General features: G+C 36.7%; 1 protein-coding gene across 1 annotated transcript; it reads right to left on the bottom strand.

The window, feature by feature from the left end:
• Positions 1 to 254: 254 nt before the first annotated feature.
• OR4K17 (olfactory receptor family 4 subfamily K member 17) lies at positions 255 to 11,715 on the bottom strand. The gene is made up of 2 exons (NM_001004715.5): positions 11,562 to 11,715; positions 255 to 4,986 (listed from the first exon to the last, which is right to left on the bottom strand). The coding sequence occupies exon 2, from the start codon at positions 4,952 to 4,954 to the stop codon at positions 4,016 to 4,018; it is 939 nt and encodes a 312-aa protein (NP_001004715.3). The 5' UTR covers positions 4,955 to 4,986; positions 11,562 to 11,715; the 3' UTR covers positions 255 to 4,015.
• Between the last annotated feature and the right edge of the window lie 1,360 nt (positions 11,716 to 13,075).

Here is a 13,075-nt window from a genome sequence, read left to right as displayed (position 1 = left end):
TTTTAAAAATATTTGCTCTTATGTTTAGTGTGTATATATTTAAGATTTTTATATTCTCCTGATGAAACATCCCTTTAATCATTACATAATGACATCCTCTGCCTCTTTTTATAGTTTTACTTACATTTTATCTCTTTAAATATGGCTATCCCTGCTGTCTTTGGTTTTCATTTGCATGGAATATCATTTTCTATCCCTTCACTTTCAGTCTATTTATGTCCTTAAATATGAAGAAAATCTCTTGGAGGCAGTATGTAGTTGGGTTTTATCTTTTTATTCATTTAGCCACTCTGTGTCTTTTGTTCAGATAATTTAATTCATTCACATTCCAGATAATTGTTGGTAGGTAAGTAGAGTCATCCCTCAGTGACTTTAGGCAACAGACTCCAAGACCTCCCTGTGATTATCAAAATCTATAGATGCTTAAGTCCCTTATACAAAATGTCACAGTATTTGCATAAAACTTACATGCATTCTGTTGTATGATTTATACCAACTCTAGATAACTTATAATATCAAATAAAATGTAAATAGTTGTTATACTTGTTTTAAAATTTTGTATTATTTTTATTGTTGTGCTGTTATTTATTTATTTATTTTTGATAGTTTTGATCTGTGGTTGATTGAGTCTGTGAATGTAAAACCTATGGATATGCCAGAAAACTGACTGTGCTTAGTACCTCCATTTTATTAATTGTTTTCTGGTTATTTTTTACACTCTTTGTTCCCTTCCTTTTCTTTTGCTTCATCTTTCTCTTTCGTCTTCATTTATTCATAGTTTATTTTCTCCAGCATATGCTTTGATTTTTTATTTTTTTTGTTTTTGTAAATGCTCTATAGGTTTTTCATTTGTAGTTACCATAAGGCTTACATAACACATCTTATGGTTATCATAGACTATTTTAAGTGAATAAATACCTAACTTTGATTGCATTTAAAAAGTCTACACTTTTATTCTACCTCCCCCACACATTTTATGTTTTTACTGTCACAATTTACATATTTTTATGTTATTTATTTTTAAACAAATTTCTGGAATTTTAAAAACTATTTCAATCTCTTCATCAAATTTCCCCATTTTTTTGTTTGTTGTTTGCTTGATTTTGTTGAATTATTTCCCTGTATGTTCTTGGACTTTACTGCACTTCCTTAAGACAATTATTGTGAAGTCTTTGTCTGGGAGTTCATAGGTCTCTGTTTCTTTGGAGACAGATACTGGAAAATTATTGTGTTCCTTTCATGGTGATACTCCCTTTTGGTTTTTGGTGTTTCTTGTTGTCTTAAGCAGATTTCTGTGCATTTGTTGGAGCAGTCATCTCTTCCAGACTTCACAGGCTGGTTTCAGTACAGAAAGAACTTCCCCTGTATGGAGGTGTGAGGGGATTGGTTGAGTAAAACACAACTGCTCTGACTATTGTGAAGGTGCAGCAGTGTCGTGTTTGTGTAGCTCCTCCAGCTGAGGTTGGCATTGATGAAGATTGTAGGGAACTTCAGCAGCCAATGATGTAGATGTTTGAAGTGGTGACAAAAATTGTTGTGGTCTTTGGTGGCTAGGGCTGCTAAAGTCCTTTCTATCTCTTTTTCTCCCACTGGGGATGTTGTGGCTGGAGGAATCCCTCTTGGCACTGGGTCCAGCTTGAGAAACTGCTTGTGGTGGTTTTGGCATAAATGTCTGACGAGGGGTACCCTAGGGGAAGCCATGGATCTGGAGCCATAAGCGCAGGTATGAATGGAGGTACTATAGATCTGTGGTTTGGGATAGTAATGGCAGCAGTATCTGGGCCCAGGAATTCCACTGCCCAAACTATAATGGTATGCAAGGTGCAGGTGCTTTTGAAATAGCTGGGGACCTTGTGACGGAAGTATGGGTAAGTGCAGAGTTGCAGTGGCTCTGAGTTTGAGGTAGAAACTAATTCTCTATGGTGGCTGAGCCGGTGCTCAGCACACAGTCACACAAGAAAACCATCTTGGTTCTAGGACTAGAGTTCATTTACCTAGAATGTATAATTTTCTTTTTGGAGTCAGACACACAGTTTTTTTGAATTGAAATACATGGGGACAAGGAGGTGAAAGTGAGATTTTATAATATTAACAACCATAAAGGTATCTTCATGAATTCTTATTTTGGAAGCTACAAGAAAAATGAGTGTAGGTAGATATGGAAAGTCTGAATTACTGGTTTCTTAGGAGACACTGCATATGAGTGCTGACTTAGACATTAATATTGTAAAGAAGACAGAGAACCAAACATGATCTCACAGTGAGTGCCAAATCATTTAACTCAATTATACAGTAAAAATGTGACAGACATTTTGAGGATTCACTTTATTTCATTTACATCAAAAGCCATTGTAACAACTAAACAAAGTACATATCTATCAAGCTCCTCTGAAGGACAAGTGAGTCTCTGACACCTTTTATAACTCAGTCAACATTTTAAAAATCAATAATTTATTATTTTTGGTGCTGCATTAAAAATAATCTTGACTGACTACTGTAATCTTACTGCATTTTACTTGCCTTCATCTCAGTGTAGCTAATAACTCTATACTTAAGAGAAACCTTTAAAAATATAAAAAATTATTGTTTCTCTGCTACTATTATTATTATTATTTTAAGATGGACTCTCACTCTGTCACCCAGGCTGGAGGGCAGTGACACAAACTCAGCTCACTGAAGCCTCTGCCTCCTGGGTTCAAGCAATTCTCCTGCCTCAGCCTCCTGAATAGCTGGGATTGCAGGGATGCACCACCACGCCTGGCTAATTTTTGTATTTTTGGTAGAGGCAGGGTTTCGCCATGTTGGCCAGGCTGGTCTCAAACTCCTGACCTCAAGTCAGCCAAGGCAACCTGCCTTGGCTCTGTTGCGGGAAGTCAGGGACCCCGAACAGAGGGACCTGCTGAAGCCGTGACAGAAGAACATAAATTTTGAAGATTTCATGGACATTTATTAGTTCCCCAAATTAATATTTGTATAATTTCTCATGCCTGTCTTTACTACAATCTCTGAACATAAATTGTGAAAATTTCATGGACATTTATCACTTCCCCAATCAATACTCTTGTGATTTCCTATGCCTGTCTTTACTTTAATCTCTTAATCCCATCATCTTCTTAAGCTGAGGATGTATGTTGCCTCAGGACCCTGTGATGATTATGTTAATGGCACAAATTGTTCATAAAGCATGTGTGTTTAAACAATATGAAATCTGGGCACTTTGAAAAAAGAACAGGATAACAGCGATGTTCAGGGAACAAGAGAGATAACCATTAGGTCTGACTGCCTGGGAGCTGGGTGGAACAGAGTCATATTTCTCTTCTTACAAAAGTGAATAGGAGAAATATCGCTGAATTCTTTTTCTCAGCAAGGAATAACCCTGAGAAGGAGAATGCATTCCTAGGGGGAGGTCTCTAAAATGGCCGCTCTGGCAATGTCTGTCTTACACGGCTGTAGATAAGGGATGAAATAAGCCCCAGTCTCCTGTAGTGTCCCCAGGCCTATTAGGGTGAGGAAATTCCTGCCTAGTAAATTTTAGTCAGACCGGTTGTCCGCTCTCAAACCCTGTCTCCTGATAAGATGTTATCAATGGCAATGAGTGCCCAGTGGGGCATAAAACTTCATTAGCAATGTTAATTTCACCCTGGTCCTGTGATCTTGCTCTGTCCCCATTTGCCTTGTGATATTTTATTGCCTTGTGATGCATGTGATCTCTGTGACCCACACCCTATTCGTACACTGCCTCCCTTTTGAAATCCATAATAAAAACTTGCTGGTTTTGCAGCTTGGGGGGCATCACGGAACCCGCTGACATGTGATGTCTCCCCTGGACACCCAGCTTTAAAATTTCTCTCTTTTGTATTCTTTCCCTTTATTTCTCAGACCAGTCAACACTTAGGGAAAATAGAAAAGAACCTATGTTGAAATATTGGGGGCTGGTTCCCCTGATATTCCTCCCAAAGTGTGGGGATTACAGGCATCAGCCACCATGCCCGGCCTCTACCATTATATTTTTAATCTAAGTATCTTCTCTAGAATTCACAAAAGCTCTCCAGAGTTTTTTCATGGATATCTTCATTTCTTTGTTTCTCAGAGTATAGATAATTGGATTCAAGATAGGAGTGATGATGGTATAAAACACAGCAAGGAACTTATCTACAGAGTGGTTGCCGAAGGGCCAAATGTAGATAAAGATGCATGGGCCAAAGAAGAGAATCACCACTGTGATGTGAGCAGTCAAAGTGGAACGGGCTTTAGATTGCCCAGTAGGAGAGTGGTTCTTAATGGTTATGAGGATCAGACTGTAGGAGATAAGCAAAATAATGAAACAGCTCAGGGAGATTATGCCACTGTTGGCAACAATGACTACCTGTACAAAATATATGTCTATACAGGCAAGCTTAGTAACCAAAGGGAGGTCACAAAAAATGCTGTCTACCACATTGGGACCACAAAAGGGCAAGTTCACAGCAAATGGTATCTGAAACCCTGAGTGAAGGAGACCCAAGAGCCATGAGGTCACTACAAGCAAAACACATACCTTCTTGTTCATGATGGTCATGTAGTGTAGGGGCTTACAAATGGCCACATATCTGTCAAAAGCCATGGAGACCAACAGTACCATTTCAACCCCACCCAGTAAGTGAAGGAGAAATATCTGAGTGAAGCACCCAGCAAAAGAAATTACCTTCTGCTTTTTTAACAAGTTCAGAATCACCTTAGGGGTGGCAAAAGAAGCAAGGGTCATATCTACAAAAGAGAGATTACCAAGGAGAAAATACATGGGAGTATTCAGGTTAGGGGTGTTAAACACTGTGACTATAATAAGAAGGTTACCCAAAACTGTGACCACATAGATAACCGAGAAGAGGGCAAAGAGAAGAAACTCTACATCCTGGGAGCTGGTCAGTCCCAGCAAAATGAATTCTGACACTTGAGATTGATTTAATAGTTTCATGGCCTCCATCCTACAGCTCGCTCTTGGATGACCTGTAGAGAGAAAGAAAAGATCACTCATACCATGGAGTATGAGTGAAAAATAAAGAGCCATATGAAAAACCAAACTTATGCATTCCTTTGGATCTTTCAATAAACGGACCTTGAAATTTAGTGTCAGTATCTATTAAGTCTGAAAAAGGAGACGTATAGTCTGAGCTGTCCACTTCCATAAAAGAGCAATGACCTATTGATGCTGTTGGTTTCCCAGAAGCAAACCACAAGCTCTGGAGCATATAAGTGTATCTTCATAGGACAAAAGAGATAGAACCATCTTCAGGAAATCTGTGACTTTCTGGGTTGAAAGATGGTTTAGTCTGAATTCCTTGGAGAACAAAGGGTTTCAGCACAACCTCTACTCTTTCAAACTCAAAATTTTAAATTTGAGTGAATATTGGAGTTGTTATTTTCCCATAATGACCTTAAGAAATTCTGTTTTAGTTCTGAATCATCCCCAGAGTTTTGAAGGGACTCTGACTCAGCAGATTTAAAGCTGCTCTAGATAAGTGAGTTAGCGAGGTTGCAAGTAATGCATACTGCTGTGTTTTTCCTCCTTATCTTCCACCAGTGGGCTTCTAGTCTTGTAACTCTCTTAGAAAGTCTTTTTGGCAAATATTATTTTTTTCTGATGTGACTGCTACTACTCATGGCCTCCTGTGGCTGAAACCCATATTTCTAAATAATTTCTATAAGGCCAAAGGAGGCTGAGATTAAGCAACACGGATGAATACTCTGGGGCTATGTGGCCTTGTCACATTCTAACAAGAGCCACATATTACAGAGGAAGCAAGAAAGACACCGTGAACAAAAGTGGCATTACTTGTGACATCTAATGTCTTGATTCTTGCTTCCAGTTCACATATCACATCCCCTTTATTTATAAAATTGTATACCTTGAGCAAACCAGGTTTAACAATTTATACCTGAACCCTAGTCTTCACTAGAACTCCATTCACATTTATTTACATAACACTGATCTGGTGATGAGTGGCAACAGCCCCCATACTGGAGCCTTCAGGCTGAGGATATGACTGTAACTACTATATGGCTAAAACTAGTAGATCACTATGTTCCAATCTGGAAAATAATATAATGTATGTGTGTGTGTCTGTGTGTGTCTCTGTGTGTGTGTGAGACAGATTATGCAGAAAATTCTGATTAAGAAGCAGAATAATTAATCTCATAAAAAAGATAGGTCAGATTGAAAGTCATGTATTCTGTGCTTCTGTGAGTTACAATGTGAGAAGAATCAGTAGGCTATTTGGAGAGAACATTCAAATGAAGATGGCAGACTGGGACTGAGAGCCACCTTTGTCTCCAACAGCTGCCTTATCTTTCCCTCTGGGTCTCAGTTTCACGATTGGTAAAACCAAGTGGTTGCGTTCAAACCCTGAGTTCCTTCTCAGGCCCAATACTTCATAGGCCTGTTTTTAATGTGCCTATTATTATCTTTTATGAATCTATTATTCTATCCCCATTTCAGAGTTTTATTACTTGTTAGCTAATTTGATTTTAACTTTGAATCAACTCAAATACAAATATCAGGTATAGCTGTGTGAAAAATAGTTGTCTAAAATTTGTCTGTGATATATCTTTATCTCCTTTCTTAGTAAGTTTTTAAAAATTGTGACATTATCTTTGCTCCAGGGCCATATGACCCCATTTTGCTCCCTAGAGCTCATGTCACTTGGTCACTTTACTATGCTAGTCCTCCCCCAAATTAATATTAATATAGTTAACATTAACTTTAAGCCCTAATATATTTATTTACTATGTATGCTTCAGAAAGTTTAAAATATATAGACCCTTTGAGATCTTTCACCTCTCAGAATTTATCATAAGGATTATGAGTGTGCTATAAAATCTTCATGGTAACAGTACTGTAGATACACAAAAGTTGAAACATTCCAAATGTTCTAAATTGAGGCTTACTTTCTTATTATTTCTGGATTATAGAAAATTATAGGATGTAATATTGCATCTTTAATGAAATGATACTTGAGAAAACTATATAATAACATGAAAATATTTACATTATTTTAAGTTAAAAACAGTATGAACCCATTTTGTAAACATTGTATAAGCATATACATACAAAATTTATATATTTCTTAAAATATTGAATAATGCCACAACTATTAACAAAGAGATTATTTTTGCTATGGTGATGTGTCTAGTCCCAAAAGAACTTCATGCTGGAAATATTCCTTCATAAAAATGCCAGGACCTGAAAACACTTGTGCTCAGATATGTATTTTTGGAGTAAGAGAGTGTTCAGAAGATGTCTGTAAACAAAGAAAGTGAAACAAAACAGGCAAGTTTGCTTTTTATTATTTAATCTAGTTTATTTCCAAGTTCTTACAGTCATTCATAATTTGGTGAATAATATGCCCAAGACTATGCAAGAAAGTCCTGTAAGCAATCAGTGGTTTGGCTATAGTAATTACAAGATGAGGGCCTCAGAAGTTCTTGTTTAAGCTTGACAGTGGCTTGTTTAAATAGATTAATTATAGGAGAGTTTTTATTAACCCTATTTTATTCTAGCTTTTGAAATCAAGTAGTATTTATTTGTAAATATATAAGATAACTTAGAATTAGATACAATGCTTTATAATAGGAAAACATAGGCAAGACGTTACTTAAAGATAGCTGTGATAGTGATGAGTGGTGGAAGCAGTTCTCACTAACTGATCAGGTGGAGTGATCCCTGGAACTGAACCATTCAGTCACACTCTGTCTTTAGGCAAATTACTTCAGTGAATGAGGACTTGGGAAACCAAATCAGTGTGAAATCAAGAAATTGAGGTAATGGGTGGGAAATTCATTTTAAGAAATTTCAGGGTAAAGACACAGGCTTGATAACATAGCAGACAGAATGGAAACAGAATTAAGACTGATCTTCCTGGAATGGCGAAGATTTAAATACGTTTTATATTGATATAAAATAGTCAAAAGATCTTAAAAATGCAACAAGTTCTTTTTAACAAATCATACTAGAAAAATTGGATATGCCAAACAATGGGTAAAAAATTAAGATCAACCTATACCTCACAACCTCTACAAAAATTAACTCCAAATTGGATCATAAACCTAAATGCAATATGTAAAACTAAATTTCCTGGGAAGAGGAGAAGGGAGAAAATATGCATGAATTTGATTTAGGCAAATACTTTTTAGACACACCTCCAAAAAACATGATCCATGGAAAAATATAATAAATTACACACGAGATACAGAATAGTTCTGCAACTTTCTTTCATTTTTACCATACCATCCATGTGTGAGGGTGACATAAAGTCCCTACCTGCCTCTAACCTGAGAGTACCAATATTTTAATTAAAATGTTTGTAAAAAGAATGTATCCTTTGTAGAATAGCCATTTGGTTTACAGTCATTCATAGAAACAGAGACAGAGCTATGTTCTCCAACCAAGCTGCATCAACTCTGCACATTTTCAATTGTAGGATTTTACACTTGCTTGCTATAGTACTTCTTTTACTTATGAACAAATGGATATTCACAAATGGGCTTAGGAACTTACATTTAGGGATCTCACTTGTTTGAAAATAGAGAAAATTCTCTATCTGATATAAAAAATTATGTATTTTTCTCTTGTTTATATTTATGTTCACAAGAGCTATACGACTGGCTTCAGTCAAATTTCTATTCACAGCCTATTAATGGAGCAACACAAAGTATAAAGGAACTGAAGGAAGGCCATTATGATATAGTCACTCCAAGCAGGGTTGGCTGGAAGACAATGTTAGGCAATGAGAAGAAAACTGTACTCAAGGTTTTCTGTACCATTATAGTCCACTGGTCATTACTTTTTATGTTAGAAACTCTTATAAGTATGTATGTTATATCACAGAAATTAACAAATAATACAACTTAGACAAATTGAGTATTTAAATTAAAATAGTGTGTAAAAAGCACATAGTACAGCATCTAGCATATAGTTGGCACACAATAAATGTGAGTTATTGCTACTATTCTTACTACTAACTGGCTAAAATTCACACAGATAAAATCATGGGATTCAAATTCAGGACTTCATGACACCAAATTAAGGGTCCATGACCCCAGAGTAAGGCTGAACTTTAGCCTTATCACTGCAAGTTTTTGAATAACTATAATTGTTGATAATACAATTATTAGAATAAATAGGTAAATATGTATAAAAAAGAAAATGTTGGATGATTGAATTAATTGCACTATTATCACACTTAGACATTGATTTATTTTTCATATTTTGTTGCTATTTGAGTAGAACTGTCTGCTGCCCTGAGGCAAATTATTGCATGACCTAATTAAAACATAATTTTTTTTGGCATGGGATTGCTGTAATGCCATATTTCATTCCTCCTTACTCACAAGTTATGTTCTACTCTAAAACATAGTACCTTAGCCTTCACTATGACAAATTGTATCAATAGCTGTGTCAAAAATAGACTTTAATAGTGATCTGATCTTCATAGTTTACCAGATTACTATTGGGCAGCAATTGAGAACACTTGGATGCCTACAGCATTTTGCATAATACAAGTTTAATTATTTTTCATCATTATTTCACAGGATTCATATTTTCAGCCATGGCCTTAGAAATTTGCATACATTTGTATATTATCTGAAATAATTTGAAATTCAGGGAAAAATCTAACATGATTTTGCCTCTCGATTTTTATATAATTCTCACTCCGGAACAACAAACTCACTTACTCCTGCCTGCCGTGTCTCACCTCGACAGATGTATTGTAAACCTTCTCTGAGGAAAACATGTATATCAGGTTCAAGGACTTGAGCTGGTGCTCTGGTCTTCTTTGAATTTAGGTCACTGACCACCACATTTACTTTAGTTGCCAGTCTGGGTACTGTGGCTTCACCTAACTAGTTTGTGTTATCTTGCAGCACTGGGGCTTTCCTGGTTTCCAAACCTATCATCACCATGTGACTCTGAACACCCACTTTGTGCTGATTAGTAACAGGGATGGAACACTGACTCCATTTTGCTTACCTGCCTTTTGAATGTGTCTCAGTCCTCTGTTAACTGCGGGACAGAAATGAGTTTTCCAAAGCAGAGAGATTAATCGATGTACCCTTTCCTTGTTAAGGAGGAGTCTACTTCCCTGATCAAATGTCTTTCCTGGATATCTGTGTGAGGCCAAGATATTGACTGTGCTGTCAGATTCTGGCCAATTTAGATGACCCTGGAGCTGCTTAAATCTTAATATTATATGCTCTAGCGAGAAACTAATATTTAATTTCTGAAATTCACTGTCAGCTTTCATTCCTCAGTTCCCTTTCTCACTGGGATTTCCCCTCCTCTCATCTCCCCAACAAAATATTATGTCTCTTTTTATGACACCTTACCTCCCACTGTTTTCCTTACTCCTCTGAATAAATGACAAGTTCCAAACTTCTTTTCCTGACTTTGACCTATCCAGCCCTCCAGGACTCCATTTATTTCATTTGTTCTCCAAGCCGATTTACCATGAAGAGAAAGTGGATCTTGGATTGCTCTTTCCACTGCAGGAAGAAACTGGATGTGGCTGCTGAGCAAATCACACACAAAAAAGTAGCTAAGGCACATAGAATTGGAGGTGATTATGGATGGGTCATTGGAGTAAAGCTGAATCCTAGTAATCTTCTAATTTCTGGCTGTATATGGGCTCTTAACAGGTGTATAGGACAGTTCTCTACTTTTTTGTTTGGCATATACTTATAGTTTCTAAGCTCTTCTTTATTCATCTCAGCCTTTTAGCAAGAACTCAAATATAGCAGTTTTAGTTGTAGCAATTTCTTTCCTGGAAATTGTAGAAGCCTAATTAACGACAATAACACCAAAGCAAAACTCCAAATAGAGCTGATGACTGGGGATAAAAATGCTTACATGCTCTTAAATTAGCAAGGGTTTTTGAGATGTGGTCATTTTAATGACTTTAATTTAGGAGCAGCCTAGTTCTCTCTGCAAGAGCCTCTAGAAAGATAGTTTCAGGAAATGTAAGTCCATGCCAAGAAGAAATACATACAACCAAATCATGAATACTCTTGTTTTCTGACTCGTTCTGTTCACTGTTAATGTCCAAATCAATACATTCTCAGTGGAAACTTTCCTAAGAAACTGACTCAGTCGATGATTCTCTCCTCTGTACCCTCATAGTACTACCCTTATAACCTATAATATAGTTATTTATATATACTTCTGTCTTCCTCCCAAGTTTGTGAACTATTTTAGTTTGCCATCTTAACACCTGGTAAAGTTCCTAGCATATACTTAAGCCTCAGTGTCATTTTCCAAATGATAATAAATTCAATCATTTATTGAGGTTCTGCTGTTTGCTGGACTCTGTACTAGGAACTTCACATATATCATCTCATTTAGTCTTCGTAAGTCTGAGTTTAATTTTCTTTTTGGTACATTTTCCAGAATGTCTTGAGCATTTTCTCAAACCTGAGACTATGCTTTTTCATGACTGATTATAACAAGTTCATTTAACAATTGCTATCTTGTGTGAACTGTGACAGGCAAATACATTGGCTTTATAATGTCAGCAATGTCTTCTGCTTACCAGTTCAGAAGAAGTCAGGGCCATGGGTTCAGAGGGGACAATATCGAGAAGGGCATGCACCTTCTCAACTTATAGTTCCATAGAAGAAACAAGTCACTAAAGTATCTAGACTCCAATCAGGGGAGTTCCTAATACCGTCTCTCTTAGAATTAGGTAGTGCCTAATAAGTGCTGGAAAACTCTGGGAATCCTCTATAGATGATTCTAACGGTGATTCTGTCTGCTGAGGGAATAATGCTTCAGGGCCACAGAGTATATTACGTAATCAATGATAGTTTAAATGTGACAGATGAAGTTAATTTCACTAGGGTGATTGGAGAGGTTTTGGAGCTAGTGTCCTGCTTTCTTCTTTATTTTGTCTCAGCTGGCTGTGGGACCATTTAATTTTGATTCCTGGTTGTAAAGTAATGAGATTAAGCTTAATGTAGGGGCACAAGGGGAGAAAAGGATGCTGAGGTGGGCCCTTAGGACTATCCTCTGGTAAGATAAATGCCACCTCTATCACTAGGTGATATAAAAGCAGTGGTTGAGGTGGGTTATAATGAGGAGAGGAAGATATACGGGTAAACCTATAGAAAGGTAGAAAGGGCATAAGAGAGGTGTAATGAAACAGACAATGAACCTTATGAAGAAAGGCATGTGCGGGTTTGGAGCTTAATTATGACATTGCAAATATAAGCCAAACCACTTCTCTGATGCTTCAAGCATTCATTAGTTTCATTCACTTGCTCAGTAATTAATAGCCTATCTCTTAAAGGGAACAATAGTTGAGCTACACTATATGTTAGGCATTTGGCTAATTATAGGGCTATAAATACAGGAACACACTCCTAGCCCCCCAGAAGCTTATAGACTAGTGATAATAAAAATAGCCAGTTCATACATAGTTTCCTATATACTAGGCATGGGGTTAAACTTACAATATACTTCCTTTCTTATGTATTTACATAGAATGAATAGAAATTTATTTATTAATATAATAATTACTATTTATACAGTTGAATTATTTGATTGATAATTGAATTATTATAAGCATTGTTTTTGTAACTTTTTTTTTAATTTGTAAAGTTTTTTTGTATTTTTAATTTCATTATTATTATACTTTAAGTTTTAGGGTACATGTGCACAATGTGCAGGTTAGTTACATATGTATACATGTGCCATGCTGGTGTGCTGCACCCATCAATTCGTCATTTAGCATTAGGTATATCTCCTAATGCTATCCCTCCCCCCTCCCCCCACCCCACAACAGTCCCCAGAGTGTGATGTTCCCCTTCCTGTGTCCATGTGTTCTCATTGTTCAGTTCCCACCTATGAGTGAGAACATGCAGTGTTTGGTTTTTTGTCCTGGTGATAGTTTACTGAGAATGATGATTTCCAAATTCATCCATGTCCCTACAAAGGACATGAACTCATCATTTTTTTTGGCTGCATAGTATTCCATGGTGCATATGTGTCACATTTTCTTAATCCAGTCTATCATTGTTGGACATTTGGGTTGGTTCCAAGTCTTTG

Source organism: Homo sapiens, chromosome 14 (assembly GCF_000001405.40).
Source record: "Homo sapiens chromosome 14, GRCh38.p14 Primary Assembly".
Classification (NCBI taxonomy): domain Eukaryota; kingdom Metazoa; phylum Chordata; class Mammalia; order Primates; family Hominidae; genus Homo; species Homo sapiens.
The sequence above is the reverse complement of the archived record's forward strand: the minus strand, read 5'-3'. Positions and strand labels throughout refer to the sequence as shown.